The sequence below is a fragment of the Homo sapiens genome, chromosome 13 (assembly GCF_000001405.40).
Source record: "Homo sapiens chromosome 13, GRCh38.p14 Primary Assembly".
NCBI lineage: Eukaryota > Metazoa > Chordata > Mammalia > Primates > Hominidae > Homo > Homo sapiens.
In genome coordinates this window covers 90,492,872-90,512,855 of record NC_000013.11, presented here as the reverse complement: position 1 = coordinate 90,512,855, position 19,984 = coordinate 90,492,872, and the positions used below count along the sequence as shown (strand labels likewise).

At 36.0% G+C, this 19,984-nt stretch overlaps 1 long non-coding RNA gene across 1 annotated transcript in view, besides 1 other annotated feature; it reads right to left on the bottom strand.

The window, feature by feature from the left end:
- LINC01049 (long intergenic non-protein coding RNA 1049) overlaps positions 1-19,568 on the bottom strand; it is a 42,055-nt gene extending 22,487 nt beyond the window's left edge. Inside the window, exons 1-2 of the long non-coding RNA NR_120414.1 lie at positions 19,439-19,568; positions 14,591-14,646 (exon numbers count right to left, since the gene is read on the bottom strand). This is a non-coding gene — a long non-coding RNA (long intergenic non-protein coding RNA 1049). The remainder of the gene's footprint in view (positions 1-14,590; positions 14,647-19,438) is intronic.
- Positions 17,356-17,855: an enhancer, noted in NCBI's record as "H3K4me1 hESC enhancer chr13:91147255-91147754 (GRCh37/hg19 assembly coordinates)". NCBI's record gives its function as "activates a minimal SCP1, AML or CMV promoter by ChIP-STARR-seq in naive H9 embryonic stem cells {active_cell/tissue: H9 hESC(naive)}" and the evidence as "EXISTENCE:reporter gene assay evidence [ECO:0000049][PMID:30033119]".
- Positions 19,569-19,984: the final 416 nt, after the last annotated feature.

The window sequence follows — 19,984 nt, the reverse complement described above, 5'->3', positions numbered from 1 at the left end:
TTTAAGGTCATCATTTAATTGTGAAGCCAGAAAATATATGACTTGCCCAAGGGACTCTCATCAATAGCTTCTCAGAAATAATTAATCTCAGAGGAAATAGATTTTGGTACTTATTAAAAATCTATTTTCTTAATTTTCAAATTGTAATTATTAATCATTAGATTATCAGAAACAAGACTATCAGTCTTTTACTACTTTCAGTTATCATTTTTAATATTGTTTTAGTATATATTTTAAGTTGTAACTTCAATTCTGGATTCACCATCATTGGTTTATTAATTTTATTTATATATAAAAAGAGTATCTAATGTATACTATCACTATGCTGTTTTACAAATAATATGTAATGTAAGCCTCATATAACTATTTAAAAAGGTGCTTCTATTATTCTCATTGCATATAGAAAGATTTGACAGAGTAAATTGGTTCTTTCAGACAAACATTGAACCCATCATCTGGTATGCTGAGTTTGTTCCTATCTTACAGTTTCCCAGTCAGAGTGTGTTTATCAGGTTGATCAGACCCTCTCCTAAGAGTAATCTGGTGCAATGCGATCAAATGATGTACATAAGTTGAAAGCTAGTTTCCTAGCATTTATCTTTAGGTCTCCCAAAATGATTATCTAAATGTATATATACAAGGTATCTGTCAAGTAATTCTTTTCGAAGTTCCACATCTCTTTTATTTCCAGGTGACATCCTTGAAGGAAACCTCATATACGTCTAATAATTGTAAAAATACATTCAAGAATTGATGAGTCATAGTACATTAAAGAGTGATTTCTTGATTAGTCTGTTTTCTTAACATAATGGATGTAATATTGTATCTGCAAACATAGTATAATCCTTTCAGCCTCCTGCTAAAATTTTAAGTATTTAAAACTGCCTAATAGCATAGCAGAGTTGAGGTATTCATCACATATGTTTCTAATTCAGACTTGTAGTTCTCTTTCTTAAAATTTTGTCTCCCTTTCTATCGATTTTCTTTACTAGAAAGTGTGCGTTCAGCTTTTAAAATAGGCAAGAGATTAAGGTGGCTCATTCACTGATTCCCATTTTATTGCAGGATATATGAAACATGTATCTTCTTGTTATATACATCCCATATTATAGCTCTATGAAATACCTAAGTTTTAGATTTGCATTTCAAAAGAGAATTGCAAGCCTTCTTAAGAGTAATGTTACCTATCTGATGCTTTCATTGAAAACAAAGTTTAAATTTCATCTCATTGGCAAGGTCAACTCTAAATCTTACTACACAAATTTAGAATTTAGAGTGGTTGTATTCAGAGGCTTTTATTTTGTGATTGAGTTTATGCTTATCTTCTTTTTATCTTACGGATATTATAAAAGTAGTAAGAGTAGTTAAAACGGGTGTATTCAGTAAAGGATTTGGAAATAGATATCATGAAAAGTACTCTTCCTATCTAGGTACACGAATCACATTAGAATTAGTGCAGAACCAAGACATTTAGACAAGGTTTTAAGTAGCCACAAGTCTTTTCTTCCTAGGAATGCCTGTCATTTTCTTTATTGAATTTAGATCATTTAAACCTCTTTTGTATACTCAGATCTATGATAAGTTCTAAAAATCTGATTTCCAGCTTATTCAGCTTGTTCTAATTTTAGGATAGCTCTGTAAGAATATAATGACCAGCTTAACCATAGTGATATATTCATTTCCAAATAATTCTTTATAATATCAATACTTCTAAATTTTGGAATGTAAATATAAATAACATTTTCTGTTCCTATTTAGAGGGAGGGCTATACACATATTTGTAATTTAATGTAAGGATCATAGTGGATATTCCTCATGCAGTAGAAATATAGTTGATAAGAGGGAATCTATCCTATTTAGAAGAAAAAAACAGCTTTCATAGGAAGTAATGAGCAAGCTGAGAGACAGTGAGGAGATTGAGAGTTCCTTACTGGGGCTGGGGCTGGTGGAGAGTGCCTTCCATTGTATGGACATACCACAGTGTGCTCATCTATTTACTAATTAATGGACATTTGAGTTATTTCTAGTTTTGGGTAATAACAAAGCTATTATGAACATTCATGTACAAGTCATTGTAGAGACATAAATTTCATTTCTCTTAAATACATAATAGTGTATCCACTCAGTATAGTCCATGTATGTTTAAATTTTTAGGAAACTGCCAACCTGTGGTCCAAAATGGTTATATCATTTTACATTCCCACCATTAGTGTATGAGAATTCCTATTCTTCCACATGCTTACCAAAATTTGGTATCGTCTTTTTGCTTTTAGCCATTCTAATATGTATGCAGTAGCATTGAGCTGTGCTTTCAACTTGCATTTTATGAATGACTAATCATACTGAGCATCTTTTCATGTGCATATTTCACATGCTTATTGGCTATGTCATTCTTGATGAATTATCTGTCCTAATCACCTGCTCGTTTTGTAAATTGGATTGCTGGTTTCTAAATTATGGGCCTTGGAAGTTATTTTATATTTTGGATTCTAGTATTTTATCATGTATATGATTTGTAAATGTTTATTTCATACAGTACATATTTTGCATTTGGTCTTAGCAATATATGTCAAAGACTAGAAGCTTTCATTTTGATGAAAGAAGTTTATCATTTTTTTTCTTTGATAGATTTTGGTTTTGGTGTTGTATCTAAGAAATTGTTTCATTTGAAATGACAAAGGTTTTATCTGATGTTTTCTTCTAGGAGTTTTATAGTTTTATGTTTCACATTTGTGCCTATTATCAATGTTGGGTTAATATTCTAATATGGTATGAAGTATAAAAAATATTCTTAAAAAAACAAAAATGGAAAACAACATATGGATATACAATTGTTCCAACATAATTTATGAAAAAACTATACTTTCTCCCTTGAATTGTTTTGGGCCCTTTGTCAAAAATCTATTGTTTATATAGGTCAACTCTAGTTTCTAATCTAAAGTCTATTTTGTTCCATGGACCTATTTATGTATTTTTATGCCAAAACTTGAAATCAAGTATTGTTAGTTCTTCAACTACAATCATTTTCAAGATTGTTTTGAATGTCCTAGGTCTTTTGCATTTCCATATGAATTTTATGATCATATTACAGGTTTCTGAAAACATGCTAAGTGGGATTTTGATAGGAATTGTATCAACCTGTAGATAAATTTGAGGTTTATTGCCATTTTAACAGTATTACTTCTCCGATTAATGCTCATTGGATGCTTTTCATTTAGATGGAGCTCCTTTAATTTCTCTCATCAAAGTACAGGTCTTTCACGGGTTTGTCAGATTTATCCTTAAGTATTTCATATTTTGATCCCGTGGTAAACATTTTCATCTCAATTTTTAATTGCTCATTGCTAGTGTTCAAAATGCAATTGATTTTGTCTATTGCTCTTTTATTCCGCAACCTTGCTGAACTCATTTATTAGTTCTAGTAGCTCTTTTTATGTATTTCATTAGAATTTCTTTATGAATTATCATGCCATCTGCACACAATGACAGTTTTACTTCCTTGCTTTTCATTCTAGATGTCTTTTATTTCTCATGTTTTAGTTTGTTGATATGGCGAATTACACTGACTGCATTTCAAATGTTTAACCAAACTTGTATTTGTAGGATAAGCTGCATTTAGTACATGAATTATTAATATAGATAGATCGATTGGAAAGATATATTCAATTTCTATTTAAAATAAATGTCATCTAGATTTATGAGGAATACTTGTCTGTATTTGTTTTTTTTTTTTTTGCAGTGTCTTTGTCTTGCGTTGATAGTGCAGTAATGCTAACCTAACAGGATAGGTTACAAAATATTCACTCTGTTTTTGTTTTGTTTTGTTTTCTAATGAGTTTGTGTAGAATTGGTGTTGTTTCTTCCTTAAATATTTGGTTGATTCTAGCAATAAAGCCATCAGAACTGGGAAAATTCCTTGGGGTAACTGTTTTAACTAGCAACTCAATTTCCTTAATATCATCTCTTTTTCCTGATGCTTATATCTTTTGTTCTCCCTTTTTCCTTTCTGATGTATCTGGATAGAGGTTTATCAATTTTATTGATCTTCTCAAGGAACTAGCTCTTGGCTTCATTGATTTTTCTATTGTTTTCCAGTTTACTGATTTCCACTCTAATTCTTATTTTTTTTCTTCTCCTTACATTGAATTTTGTTTTTCCTTCTTTCTTTAAGGTTTTCTTTTTTTCTGGTGGTTGCTGAAGTGAAGACCTTAACAAGACACTTCTGCTTTTCTAACGTAGAAATTCACCACTATTAAGTTAATTACTCCCTAATATCCTTACTGCTTCTGCAGTATCCTACATATTTTGAAGTGTTTTCACTTCAAAATATTCCAGTTAAAACTGCTTAACTTATATTCATATTTTCCCTTTTTATTTCTTCTTTGGATAATGGGTTATTTAGAAGTGTGTTATTTAGCTGCTAGATATTTTGTGATTTGGTAGGTTGTTATTGATGCCATTATTAGTAGAAAAGATATTTTTAAATTCATTGATATTTGTTTTATGGCTCAGATTAACTTCTATGCCCAAAAGTACTCCATGTATACCTAAATAGTATGTGTTTTCTATTTTTGTTGGATGCAGGCTTCTATAGATACTACTGTCGTCAAGTTGGTCGGTGTATTCTTACTGGTCTTTATATACTTGTTCAATCAATTATTGTGAGCTCCTTTGAAATCTCAAACTGAAATTATGGCATTATCTATATCTCATTGCAGTTTTATTAGTGGCTGGTTCATTTATTTTAAATGTGCAAATATATTTGTTTACATGTAAGCATGATTGTAACCATGTGTTGCTCTTATGATAAAGTAACCCTTTTTTTTTTTTTTTTTTTTGAGACGGAGTCTCGCTCTGTCGCCCAGGCCGGACTGCGGACTGCAGTGGCGCAATCTCGGCTCACTGCAAGCTCCGCTTCCCGGGTTCACGCCATTCTCCTGCCTCAGCCTCCCGAGTAGCTGGGACTACAGGCGCCCGCCACCGCGCCCGGCTAATTTTTTGTATTTTTAGTAGAGACGGGGTTTCACCTTGTTAGCCAGGATGGTCTCGATCTCCTTAAAGTAACCCTTTTATCATTTTGATAATATTGGAGTTTTTTGTTTTAAAATCTACTTTGTCTTACTGTAATGTACTCATCAGCTTTTTTTGGTTAGCATGATATATTTTTCATTTATTCACTTTTAACTGATTTGTTTCTTTATTCAAAAGACAGCATATAGTCGGATCTTTTCAAAATCTCTTTTGAGTGTGTAAACTATTTACATTTTATGTGATAATTGCTATAATAAAGTTTAGCTCTATTATATTCCTGTTTGCTTTTTTATATATCCTATTTATCTCTTTTTCCTTTCTTTTTTATTTTAGAGTACTTACATAGTTTTATGATTTCATTTTCTCTTAAGTTGCTTATGATTTATAATGCTATGACATGATTTCAGTGGTTGCATTAGGTTTAATAGTGTACATCTTTAATTTACATAATTGTGTTCCTTATCTTTTACTAAGACTTTCTTTTTATGGTAAATAAGAATAAAGCTTCACAGAAAAATAGAGTAAAACATATGAAGTTTCTCACATACCTCCTCCCCCTACACACGCACAGCCTCCACCATTGATGTTCCCCTCTATAATAGTACATTTGTTACAATCAATGGACAAACATTAACCCATCATTATCAACCAAAGTCCGTAGTTACTACAGGGTTGACTCTTTATTCTTGGTGCTGTACATTTTGTGGGTTTGGGCAAATGTGTAATGACATGTATAATGATTATTCATATACATATTATATGTCTACTATGATGGTATCACATGGAAACGTTTCCTTGTGCTAAAAATACCCTGTGCTTCACCTATTCATCATCCTCTCCCCCATTACCCCAGCAATCACTAATCATTTTCTTTTTTTCATCTTTTTGACTTATCTATGATGTCATATACTTGGAATCATATAGTATGTATTTTATTTTAGATTAGCTTATTTCACCTAGTAGTATGCATTTAAGTTTTCTCCATATGTTTTCATTGCTTGGTAGCCCAGTTCTTTTTAGTAGTGAATAATATTCCATTTTCAGAATGTACCACAGTTTACTTATCAATTCAAGTAGTGAAGGGCATCATGGTTTTGTCAATTGTGAAGAAAACTGTTGTAAACATCCATGTGCATTTTTTTCGTGTGTGTGGACATAAGTTTTCAATGAACTTAGGTAAATGGCAAGAAGATTAATTTGTGGGTCATATAGTTAGAGAATGTTTGGTTTTGTAAGAAACTGCTAGAGTGTTTTCCAAAGTGTCAGTGCCATTTTGCATTTTTACCAAAATCTTACTGCTTCAGAATCCTCATCAGAATTTGTTGTTGCCAGTGTCTGAGACTTTAGTTATTCTATTAAATAGCTAGTGGTATCTTATTGTTTCAATTTGCAGTTCCTAAATGACATATGATGTTGATCATCTTTGTATATGCTTATTTACTATATGCATATCTTCTTTGGTGAAGTGTCTGTTCAGATATTTTGCCCATTTTTAAGTAAGTTTTTATTTTCTTGTTTTATTTACCTTATTTTATTTATTTATTTAATTTTTGGAGGTAGAGTCAGTCACCCAGGCTGGACTTGAATTCCTGGGCTTAAGCAATCCTCCTACCTCAGCTTGCTGAGTAGCTGGGACTACAGCCACAGCTTGTTTGTTCATTTTCTTATTGTTCAGTTTTAAGAGTTGTTTGAATATTAAATACAACAGTATTTTATTAAATATTTCTTTCCAAATATTCTTTCTCCATTTGTGGCTTGTCTTCTTATTCTCTAGACAGTGTCTTTCACAGAGCAAATGTTTTTAATTTGAATGGAATCCAACTTTATCAGTCCCATATGCCAATATACTCCTGAGAAAAACATCAAACAAATTCCTATAAAGTGCATCCTACAGTAGTACTTCTCAAAATGTCAAGATCATCATCCTTATGTCTTAGGAATGAGTAAGCACTATACTAAACATGCCAGAATAAATCACAAATCATACGGGAATAAATAATAAATTTGAGTTAATCATACTAAGGTTTCACTGTCTAAGTCTAGAGCTTCTGTTCAATAAAAACCAACTTGTGCAAATTTAACAGAGATGTACATATTACAATATATTTGCAAAACATAAAATCAATGGTGAAAGAGTATCTATGATACAAAAGAAGACCTAATTAAAATTGACAAAAAGGCAAAAGAAACAATAGAAAAATGGGCAAAGTCAATTTGTAGAAAAGCAAAAGTAAATCATTAACAATTAAAGAGACAGTCAACTTCTTTAGTGTGTAGAATAAGTGAAACATTAGTAAGGTACTACTCTACATATATCAATGTGGCAAAAAGTTAGTAAAGTTGAAACTGACAAGTTTTCTGAAAAAAGAAAACCATCTTGCCCTTCCTGCAGGAATTTATACAGGTGCAACCCTACTGGCAGTATTAGATAGTTTAAGTATTATCATTCATGGCTCAAAAATCCTAGAAAGATTCTTATAAATTTTCCAAACAAGCCAAGAGTGAGATTTGAATTGCAATGGTACTTGGTGGTAAGGAGTAGAAGGTAGTGTAGGGGCACACATTATTGAGGGATGGATGAAATACAAACAGTGAAATACTCTCAGGAGTCAAAAGCCAAAAAAGCTACTTGTATGGTAAGCAGTGTGAATAGGTCTTTAAACAATGTTGAGTAAAAAATTATGACAGGAAATATCTATAGCAAAATGCCATTTATGTTAGTCAAATACACACACAATCTACATATTTTAAAGGAATAAATACAATTTAAAGATACATTCTATTGGGTACAAGGCTTAAAACCTGGGTGACAAAATAATCTGTACAAAAAGCCCCCATGACACAAAGTTTACCTATACAACAAACCTGCACATATAACCCTGAACGTAAAACAAAAAAATATATATATTCTAAGCACTCAGGATAGCAGGGAACATAACTAGGGGATAGGCATAAGAGAAAATGAATAGATGCATAAATAATTTAATCTTAAAAGTGAAATTAAATCATTTACTCCCATAATGCAAAAATTAAAATAATACAAAAGTTAAAATTAAAATTTATCATAAAATCTAAAATTGCACAGAACCAAGCATACATAATATTTTTTAAAAATTTACTGCATTCCATCCAGGAAATAAACCTTCCTTGAACCAGGTATTTGTAAGCCAAGATGTGTACCTGTGAGGTTATTGTTTATTGCCCTCTAGAGTACACTCATATTAATTAGCACAAAAATCAGCTCAGTAAAAATTAATAAAGAAATATGTTTAAGTGCCATATGTTTCTATTAATTCATGCATGCCATTGCAATTATCCATAATTGCTAAGCAAAGATCAGACAATTACTGACCCTAATAAATATCACAAAGTTAGACTGTACAATTAATTGGAAGTTTATGAGAATTTTGAGCTTGGATGCCAGTCATGTCCAGAGAGTTTGTAAAATAACCTATGCTAATCATTCACACCCAATACCTCTGAGAAGAAATAAAACTGGTAGTAAAACCAAGACTCAAATGCAATGTTTCCTGAACTTGAATTGAACTCTGATAACTATTTGTTGGGTGGATTTGGACATTAAAAAATCAACCAAAGCTTTGTTTGAGGAGCCAAGCAGCTGGAGCCACTGACTGCACCTTGGGGATGCCATTCCCATCACAGTCTCATAGACTTGAGTATTTATTATGACAGTTCTTGGCTAATGGTAGTAAATTATTCGTAAAATGGGGTGACATTCTAATTATTTTAGAGGTGACATTCGGGTAAGCTGAGGTTTTAAGAACAACATCACTAGTTTCAAAGAAGTATGAAGATGATTACCTCTTTTGCTACTATCTTCCTCAATTCACCTCATCTTCCTCTATTATTTTATTTGTGAAAAAAGAGAGACCTTTTGCCCTGTCTCCTGCTAATCCAATATCTATGCCATACAGGTTATCTATTACTACTCTTTAAAAGATAGGCTCTACCTCCTCATGCTTAGCCTTTTCTTCATATAACAAAATATTTCGAGTGGGAGTCACCTATAACCAAATATAAAAACAAGCCCATAAATTATAAATACCAAAAATATAGAAACAATTGTGTAAATAAAATAATTTGTATCCAGTTTACATTGGCTTTTATGAATTTTATCTCTTGTTTACCTCAAGCCCTCCAGCACAGAGTCCTGGTTTTGTCTGTGTGTGTGTGTGTGTGTGTGCATGTGTAGTATATTGTCGTATTCCTAATACACTGAGTTATCTCATTGGTTTTGCCAAAAACACTCATGATACATATTTTTGTCACTATGGAGGAACAGTTAGCTTTTTGAGTAATTGTGTCAGGGATGCCCAGGACCATTGTCAGATTCAAAGATTCACCAGAGCGACTCACTGAAATCAGCAAAGCTGTCACATTCATGGTAGTAGTTTATTACAGGTAAAGGATACAGCTTAAAATTAGCAAGATAAAAGACACTTAACAGCAGATGGTCCAAGAGAGACCAGGAACAAGCTTCTAGTTGTCCTCTCTCACTGGAAGCACTGAAATAGTGCTTAATTCTCCAAGCAACGATGTGTGACAGCACATGTAAAGTGGTGCCAATCAGAGAAGTTCACGTGAACCACGGTTCCCAGGGTTTTTGATTTATATGACTTATAGTATTTTTACCTATATGACTTAAAGGTAAATCATATAGGCATGTGGCTCTCATTTGATTCACCTGAGCTACTCAGACCCAGAACCCCCAGAATTCAAACTGGTACAGTGTGACCCAAAGCTCCAGGAATAGAAAACAAGCATCTACCATTAATCACATTGTTAGCATAAACTGTCTGGCATTTCCAAGGTCTCAAATCTACAAAAGCACTCTTTGTATTCCAAAAGACTCTTAAGAGTTCAGAGGTTATCTCCCAGGAGCCGATCAAGGGCTGGTCCTGAAGACCTTTGGAATCTGCAGTTTGGGCAAGCTAGACCTGCTGAGTTAACCCTTTGCTGCACAATAATATTGAAGAGTACAGGCACACGGAATAGCTACTTTTTCTCCCTTTTTCTCAGTGGCACCTGTATGAAAGGGTAAGGCAGTGGCAATTGGTAAAAAGGGCAAGGAAGCTTTCTTTAAAACTACTATTTTTCTTAAGTTGAACATATACTTAGGAGGATGATAACTGCAACCAATCACACTCTATCCAGCTGCCCTTTAGCTACCTCTCTTGCCTTAACAACTTCTGAAGAAAAATTCAGTGGAAACTTCCAGAAGAACAGACACTCTAGAGTATGCTCCTTGCTTTCTCATTGGCCCACTTAGTCTTGAATCTCACATTACCCAGTGGTCTACATGGCATCATTTTCTCACTGAGTGCCTACTCTTGGCACCATAACTGTGTTTGCTGAATCTGCTTTCACTCCCTGGCACCCCTCCACTAACAATTTGGATGTAATGGTGTAGTGTGCTTTGCTCAATTTGATGGCAAGCTTACAAGTGAGGGTGTTGATTACTGCATCACAGTTCAACAACTCTGGGTGACAGTGCACAAAAGCATAGCCATGGCATCTGGCTGGGCACACAGGCACAGACAAGCCATTGGCGGGAAGACTTATGATTATTCATGGCTGATCCTGATAATCTAGAGCCCAGAGTGTGGGCAAAGCATTTCTTTCCTTTGCCCTCCTGTCACCTTTAAGTCTACACACAGCCTCATTTTAGTGGATTCCTTAAATCCTCTTATTCTTGGACCTCCCCTCCATTCTTTTACCCTTCTGGGTTCTGCAGAGATCCCAGGCTTTACCCTTATAACTATTTCAGTTGAGATTATTGAGCTAGGTTTGCTCCTTATATCTGAGACCAGGGATATCAAGTGATTGTTCATTGGCTAGATTAGAGACCTATTTCTGACTTTATTATATTTTTTAACCTAAGAAGCACTATAAAAGATCTTTACCTTCAAGAAATTACAAGGAAAGAAACATCTTCAGCTAATTTGATGATCTCTTAGTGAAGGAGAAAGATAATAATGCTCTGTTTTATATGTTTTTACTGTTATGTTTCTACTCTTTTATTTGTAAGCAGGTATCATGCCTGTGTGTACATATGCACATATGTGTATGGCTGTATATTGTACACATAAATTAGAAACTCTGGAGGTGTCTCCCAACAATTTGTGTTTTGACATGTCCTTCAGGTGCTTCTGAAGCACACTCAAATTTAAGAACCACTATCTTAGACAATGGAGCAATGGAAAACACATATGAGTTTAAAAATTAGGCATTGTAGATTAATATTATTGTGATGTTTTATGCTTGATAAATAGATACACAAGTAATACAGATAACTTGTGATTCTGACAGTGAATATCTAGAAATCAATGAATGATAGCTACAGATAATATTGTCCCTGTCTTTCAGTTTAAGCAGAGGAATGTTTCCTGCTCTCACTAAAATTTCTTCCTTGTGTCAAATAAAGCAGTTGATGCATGAATAGTTGGTTTTGACTGGGGAGGGTGACGTTTTCCTTTAGCAGATCTGACGACAGAGCAGCTCTGTCCCTACATTTTTTCTAGATGCAAATTATGTGTAAAAATGTCAATGAAAACATGTTTCTGCTTCAGATATAACAGATTCGACACTCTAGATAGATGGAAACTAGTCAAGGTCAATGTATCTACTGTTTTATCCCTGCAGCAAGTACTAAAAATAACTGGACTCAATATCAAGACAACATATATGAGCACAACAGAATATTTTTCAATAAATATCTTTCTAGTCTTGAAAAGTATCAGACAGTAAGCTAAAATTGCTCTTATATATACTATATCTGATCTGCACATATCCAGTCTATCAACTTGCCTATCTCATCGTTAGTTTATGAGATTGAATGAAAAATATGAGCCCTAAGGAAATCCAGGTCTTAATCCTCAAAACCTGCGAATATGTTATCTTACGCCAAAAAGAGGAGAGAAGGCTTGGCAAATGTGATTAAGGTTATGAACCTTGAGAGTGGGAGATTATTTTGGAGTATCTGTGTGAGCCCAGTCTAATCACATGGGTCCTTTAAAGTGGAATAACTTTCCTGGCTGTGGTCAGAGAGATATGTGACTGTGGAAGCAGCCCCAAGAGGTGTGATATGAGAACCACATGATGCCAGTTTCTGGTTCTGAGATGTGGGGGCTATGCTCAAGGGCTAGAGAAAGTCCTCTAGAAGCTAAGAGTGTCTCTAGACTGATAACTAAAGCCAACAAGAAAATACAGGCCTCAGTCTCTGCATTTGTGTTATTGGACAGTTTTCACCAGTGTTACAATATATAATTTTATAGTAAGCCACGACATTTATTATGTGGAATTTTCATTTCTTTCTGCTTCAAAATTGACACCTTTGTTCTTGGCTCTACATTTTAATATACAATCTAATATTAATTGTTTACTCATACCAAATGGGTTAAAAATAAAACAGGGGCATTTTTATTGAAAACGCATTGCCTCGGCCGGGAGCGGTGGCTCACACCTGTAATCCCAGCACTTTGGAAGGCTGAGGCAGATGGATCACGAGGTCAGGAAATCAAGACCCTCCTGGCCAACATGGTGAAACCCCATCTCTACTAAAAATACGAAAATTAGCTGGGTGTGGCGGTGCGCACCTATAGTCCCAGCTACTCGGGAGGCTGAGGCAGGAGAATCCCTTGAATCTGGGAGGCGGAGGTTGCAGTGAGCCAAGCTCGTGCCACCCTACTCCAGCCTGGAGACAGAGCAAGACTCCATCTCAAAAAAAAAGAAAAAAAGAGAATGCATTATTGCCTTTATAGGTTGATGTAGGTTTAATTGGCATGCACCTTTTCACAGTGTATCGTCCTAAAGAGAAACATGGTGAACCTATTCCTTGACTTAGGCCTTTCAAAGATCTTTCAATAAATTTTATATTTTTCTTCATGAATTTTTTTACACATTATTTTTGTTGGATCATGCATTTCTTGAACATTGTTTTTGTAAAATATGAAATTATTCATTTTGTTTTATAAAAGCAAGTAAAGCATAAATTTCCTTCTGAATACCATTAAGCTTCCATCTGAATTCAGTATCTGCACTCATTAATTAACCTTGCTTCACTCTATGGTTGAACATTATCAAAATATTTAAAAAACAATTTTAAAAATTATGTAAAAAATATGTGAAATTTGTATTGCAGAGAATTCTTGACTTGTGATTGTTTGGCTTGCAGGTTTCTGACTTTATAATTTTTCTGACTTTATGATAGTTTTATCAAGGTGTTAAATGCATTTTCAGCTTATATTTTTGACTTAGAATGGGTTTATCAGGTCATAACCCCATCATAAGTTGAGGAGAATCTGTATTTTATTATTTTAACTTAACTTCCTTTTTAAATGTGTATTTATAAATAAATTTTAAGTGTATTGAATCTTTTGATATTTAAAGCAATTTAATTTAAATTTTAAATTAAAAACTGTAAATAGCATAAATGGGAAAATATTCCAACACAACTTATCATTGACATGTAAGAAACATAAGACATCTGAATTTAATAAAAAGTGGCAAAGATATGGATGATTACCTATCATAAGAGCAATTAGTAATCCATATTATTCAATTGGTAATATCAATGCCAAATGAGTATGTATTATTTTGGTCCATTAAAAAGTTTCAGGGAGATACTGGACAAACAACTTGAAAATCTAATGTTAAATTTTCATTTCAAGTACAAGGAAAACTCCTAAAATACTCATAGAAATATTCTACTATAGTAAATCAGATGATCTGAATTGATGGAAATGGCAAACTATTGACTAAAATCTATTCCAGGAAAAAAACAGCTGTTGAAGTCAGCTGCTCTGGTATAAATAAAACAAGTTAAACCACAAGGGCAGAATCTTAGAAATTTGGAAACATAATTATGCCATCTGGAAATAGACTAATCAGAGAATAGAGATTTGGAGAAAATAAAATTACAAATAACTTGAAAAACAATAACAAATATGTGTTATCTATACTCGAAGTCCAATTTGCTTACCACTTACAAGATTACTGTGTTTCTGTAACTGTATTGTACTGTATCCCCTGTTATCTGTGTCCATCAATTTATTTTTAGTATACAGATGGTGATTTTCTAAGTTATATTTTCCATGCATAAACTAAGTTACATTTTATTACATGACTGAAGTTTATTGTCCATAAATCAAGTCATAGAAATGAAAGGTCTCAGAAATTTTTTATGTGGCATTCAGAATGTTGATGTGTGTGTGTGTGTGTGTGTGTGTGGAGATAGAGTGAGAGTGTGTGTGTGTGAGAGAGAGGGAGAGAGAGAGAGAAAAGAGAGAAAGACAGGGAGAGAGAGAACAATTTACATTGTTCTCTTACTCCATGCTTAAGCATTTTTGAAAATATACTTGATCTTCAGGATCAACATTACTAAGCAAGAAAATGACCAAGAAATGATGAAGACAATTATTCCTACTGTGACAAACAAGCATGTCATACAAAAATAAGACTGTGCCTTTAAATTATTTATATATTTCTGTGTGTGTATATTATGCAATCTTCTCAGAATGGACTGCCCTGATTATCTTACCTAGAGCAGCTGCTGCTGTACTGTCCAAACTCCTCAACACCGAATACATTCCATACCTAGGGCACAATTGTGTGTTGTAAGATAAATAATCATAGAATAATATTAGAAGTTGTATAATTGCTTATTTTATAAAATTAATTTGAATATCATTTATATTTCAGTAACCTATTATTTTTCATTACAAGGTCAGAAAAACATTTCACTTGTAAAAAACATAAGAGATGTAAGTCTAAAATTTCTCTGTGTCATACATTTCCTTTAATGAATAATCGGCATTTCTGTTATATCAATAAGGACAATATTATATATAACACACTACAAAATGTGTGGCAGTAGACATTCTTATGAATATTGATTACACACATATATGACTAGAAATGGGCATGATTTTCTGATCACATAAAAACTTTGAAGCTTCAAACTATATTGTGTGTACACATAATGATGTTTTCCATTTGCAAGACAGAGAAAGCCAAGACAAAGAGAGAAGAAGAAAGAGAAGCAGAAGACAGATAATTTGGTTCAAGTCTCTAACTCATTGATCAAAAATAGGACTGCCATAAACATTCAGAGAGAATTCTAGTCAGAATTAACCCAGTAATGATAGTATTTTATAGTCATTTCAGCTCGTAATAAATCCCTTCTCCATGAATTCTCATAATTCAAGTCTGTTGTATTAAAATACAGAGCTAAATTTTTTCAAAGAATATTACCATTATTTTTATAGTGTTTTAATACATTAGAAAAAATGCTTTATTTCAATTGGAAGAATGTAGAAAATAAAGCTCTTAAACGTTGTCTTTCAGATATGCATCAGATCTGAAGCACAGTCCAGCTTTACTAACACTGCTTCACAACTAACTATATTTTAATAATTTCTAAAAGCAATAATTATAAATACATTTTCCCCCAGAAAGAATCTATGTCTGAACATTTTACCCATCTTATAACATTGAAATACTTTGCTAAATCTAATTCAAGTAAATATTGCTTTAGTAGGCACCAAATTGATATATTTCCTTCTTCTAGCCTAAGTAAATCATACATATTTAAGCAACAGCATCCAAAATAAGTTGAGAAGAAAAATCTTTGATTAAGATTATGAAAGCACTGTTTGTTGTCTAGTAAAGTTATGGAGATTAGCCCACAATTTTACTTCTATTCTTTAACCATTTTTTTTTTTGCCCTTATTGTTCTAGGATAATTTATGTTCAGCTGTTGGGTTAAATTATATACAATTTTTTCTTTTAAATTTATGGTCTGAGATCCCTTGTGCTGTGTTGTCTAGTTTTTTATTGCAATTATCAATATACAGTTCAGAAAGGTGATTCCAAAAATAGCAAAATGATGGTATAACAATGTAAGTACTTAAGTTACTTCACGCCATGAGAGTAAAAGCTGAGATATTAACAGAGGCCTGATATGTGAAGACGTTTGCTTAATTACTAGTAAAAAATGTTAGGATTTTATTTATAAAAGTGAGCTGCACAAAAATTTAAATTCTAATTATTTATTGAACATTTAGTAAGTATTACGTGCTGTGTAAAATGCTTTTCATGCTTACTTTAATTTCATTCTCACAATGACCAGCAAAATATGGTGGAATGACATGGAGCAGAAAACTAGTTTTACAGAATAAGAAGCCCGACAAAGATGGCTGGACTTTGGCCCAAGTATTCCAGGCAAGGTATTAACTATAAACCTAGAATTTATGCTAAGAAAGTAACTTTGCATCAGTCTGAATAGTTGATATTCTTTTCTTTATAAGAAAATAGACCTTAATCTTCACAGATTTACTTGGTCCTTTGTATCAAAAATAAACACTAGTGAAATAACCATCAATTTCTTCCCAAAAAGTACATGTAGAACGTACCTTTAGTACAGCAGTGATATGATCAGAGAAGTGCTTCATGCCACAACATCATTTTCTTCTTGGAAGTCACAGTAAGCTCCTCTTGCCTGTAGGAGGGCTTTGAGGCAAAATGATCCTTATAATGTGCTTTCGGTGGAGGGACTACTTGAGGTTTTGTGTCCAGAATTGGTGGGTTCTTGGTCTTGCTGACATCAAGAATGAAGCCGCGGACCCTCGCGGTGAGTGTTACAGCTCTTAAGGTGGCGCGTCTGGAGTTTGTTCCTTCTGATGTTCGGATATGTTCGGAATTTCTTCCTTCTGGTGGGTTCGCGGTCTCGCTGGCTCAGGAGTGAAGCTGCAGACTTTCGTGGTGACTGCTACAGCTCTTAAGGCAGCGGGTCTGGAGTTGTTCGTTCCTCCAGGTGGGCTCGTGGTCTCGCTGGCTCAGGAGTGAAGCTGCAGACCTTCGCGGTGACTGTTAACAGCTCTTAAGGCAGCGGGTCTGGAGTTGTTCGTTCCTCCTGGTGGGCTCGTGGTCTCGCTGGCTCAGGAGTGAAGCTGCAGACTTTCGCGGTGAGTGTTACAGCTCATAAAAACAGTGTGGACCCAAAGAGTGAGCAGCAGCAAGATTTATTGCAAAGAGTGAAAGAACAAACCTTCCACAGTGTGGACTGGGACCCGAGCCGGTTGCCACTGCTGGCTTGGGCAGCCTGCTTTTATTCTCTTATCTGGCCCCACTCACATCCTGCTGATTGGTAGAGCCGAGTGGTCTGTTTTGACAGGGCGCTGATTGGTGCGTTTACAATCTCTGAGCTAGACACAAAGGCTCTCCACTTCCCCATCAGATTAACTTGATACAGAGTGTCCACACAAAGGTTCTCCAAGGCCCCACCAGAGTAGCCAGACACAGAGTGTCAATTGGTGCATTCACAAACCCTGAGCTAGACATAGGGTGCTGACTGGTGTGTTTACAAACCTTGAGCTAGATACAGAGTGCTGATTGGTGTATTTACAATCCCTGAGCTAGACATGAAGGTTCTCCAAGGCCCCACCAGAGTAGCTAGATACAGAGTGTGGATTGGTGCATTCACAGACCCTGAGCTAGACACAGGGTGCTGATTGGTGTATTTACAATCCCTGAGCTAGACATAAAGGTTCTCCACGTCTCCACCAGACTCAGGAGCCCAGCTGGCTTCACCCAGTCGATACCCCACTGGGGCTGCAGGTGGAGCTGCCTGCCAGTCCCGCGCCATGCGCCTGCACTCCTCAGCCGTCGATGGGACTGGGCGCCGTGGAGCAGGGGGTGGTGCTCGTCGGGGAGGCTCCGGCTGCACAGAAGCCCATGGAGGGTGTGGGAGGCTCAGGCATGGCGGGCTGCAGGTCCCAAGCCCTGCCCCGCGGGAGGGCAGCTAAGGCCCGGTGAGAAAACCAGTGCAGCGCCGGCGGACTGGCACTGCTGGGGGACCCAGTACACCCTCCGCAGCCGCTGGCCCGGGTGCTAAGCCCCTCATTTCCCGGGGCCGCCCATGCCTACCCGGAACTCCAGCTGGCCCGCAAGCGCCACGTGCAGCCCCGGTTCCCGCTGGCGCCTCTCCCTCCACACCTCCCTGCAAGCTGAGGGAGCCGGCTCTGGCCTTGGCCAGCACAGAAAGGGGCTCCCACAGTGCAGCGGTGGGCTGAAGGGCTCCTCAAGTGCCGCCAAAGTGGGAGCCCAGGCAGAGGAGGCGCCGAGAGCGAGGGAGGGCTGTGAGGACTGCCTGCACGCTGTCACCTCTCAGTTTTACTTGTGATCCCACAGAGCTTCTTATGAAATACTTATACAAAGATAGATGTTTCAGGATAAATAAAACCTTTATCTCTTCTACATAACTAACATTCTATTAAAAAAATCCTTTATCACTTCAACGATTGCAAAAACTAACAAAGTCATTGTTACATTTTGAAGAGTGGCCATGCATTATAATTCAGTATTGTTTCTTAGTTTAACATCAATAAAATAATTTAAAATGAAAATTTAGAAGATGAACACAGTTCGGCAGTCTGTGTTCTATCAAACTATCAAAAAGTAGATCTTAGTAGTGATGGCAGAAAGATAGCCAAACAGGAAATCTCAGGCTCTACTTGGCCCACAGAAAGTTTAACTGGCAAATATCCACAAACTGGAACATCCTTTGAAAACCCCTACACCTGGAAACCAGCCTGAGATACCAGCAAGGGATGTAGAATTGAATGAAATCTGAATCAGAAGGGTAAGAAGAATGGTCTCACTCCACCTGGGCTTCCCCCTTCCCCTTCCCCAAGTTGGCACAGCAGATGGAGATGGTTTCCCTGCACTCACAGTTTCTACCAGGAAAAAAGAGAATAAGAGGTAGTCATTCAGTTTCCCTAACGTTCTAAGATGCTACTCAGGAAGTCAACTCTGGTTTCACCTCATGGGGAATACTAGGAGAAATGGCATGGCTTGACTGCCCTAGGGTCAGGCAGAAACAAAGAAAATTACTGATGCACAGATCTTGGTGGTACCTCTGTTTTCCTGACAGCTGTGCTGCTCGATCAGGGATATCAGCAAACCTCATAGCACAACCACAAAGTTAATAAGCTGGTTCCCTTCAGAAGCACAGTGGGAAGTACAATTTAACTTGAGCCCCTAGACTACTAGTCTCTGGGCTCAGCCTTAGAACCCACATCAACAACCCTGCCTAGTCAGGGAAACACAGCTTCACCTATTTGTGAGAAGAGAAGAGGTAGATTGGGCCTGACCAGGGAAAACAAGTAGCAGCTCCACACAGCCAAAAAGCCCACACAATGACTCCAACCAGGAAGGAATATTTCCACCTTTCTATATTTTGGAGAAACACAGCAAGGGCTAGTCTTACTTTATCCGGAAAGTCAATAAGACACTAAACTCAGTTAGAAGCCCACTTCATGGCTCTACCCAGATAGGGAGAAAAATCTTCAGCTTTATGTAAGTAGTGTATTTCAGCCTCAGGTCTTACCTGTCCAGGGTGGTGACCCTGCCTAACTTCAGAGTCTAACATGCAGTCTTGTCTAACTGTAGATTCCAAATAGCAGAATTTTCCAGCCAGGAATACATCTTATGACTGAATTGACCAGAAGCCATTGTATTATCTAGCCAGTAGTTTCATCTGACAGAAAATCCCAGACAGTGGTCTCGTTGGTCAGTAAAACCAATCAATAGCCCATTCTGACATCAGAGCAAAGGCAGTGGATCAGCCAACTAGAGAACTCACAGCAATTTCTACCTGCCTGGGGTTTTCACTATCTAGCCCTTCCAGAATCACAGGCTAGACTAAATATGTGAAGCTCTGGACTGGGTGTGGTGGATCATGCCTATAATCCTTGCCCTTTTGGAGGCAGAGGTGGGAGAATTGCTTGAAGCCAGGAGTTTAAGACAAGCCTGGGCAATAAGATAAGACTCTGTCTCTACAAAAAAGAAAAATAAAAAAAATTAGCCAGACACGGTGATGTGCACTTGTAGTCCCACCTATTCAGGAGGCTTAGGAGAGTAGATTGCTTGAGTC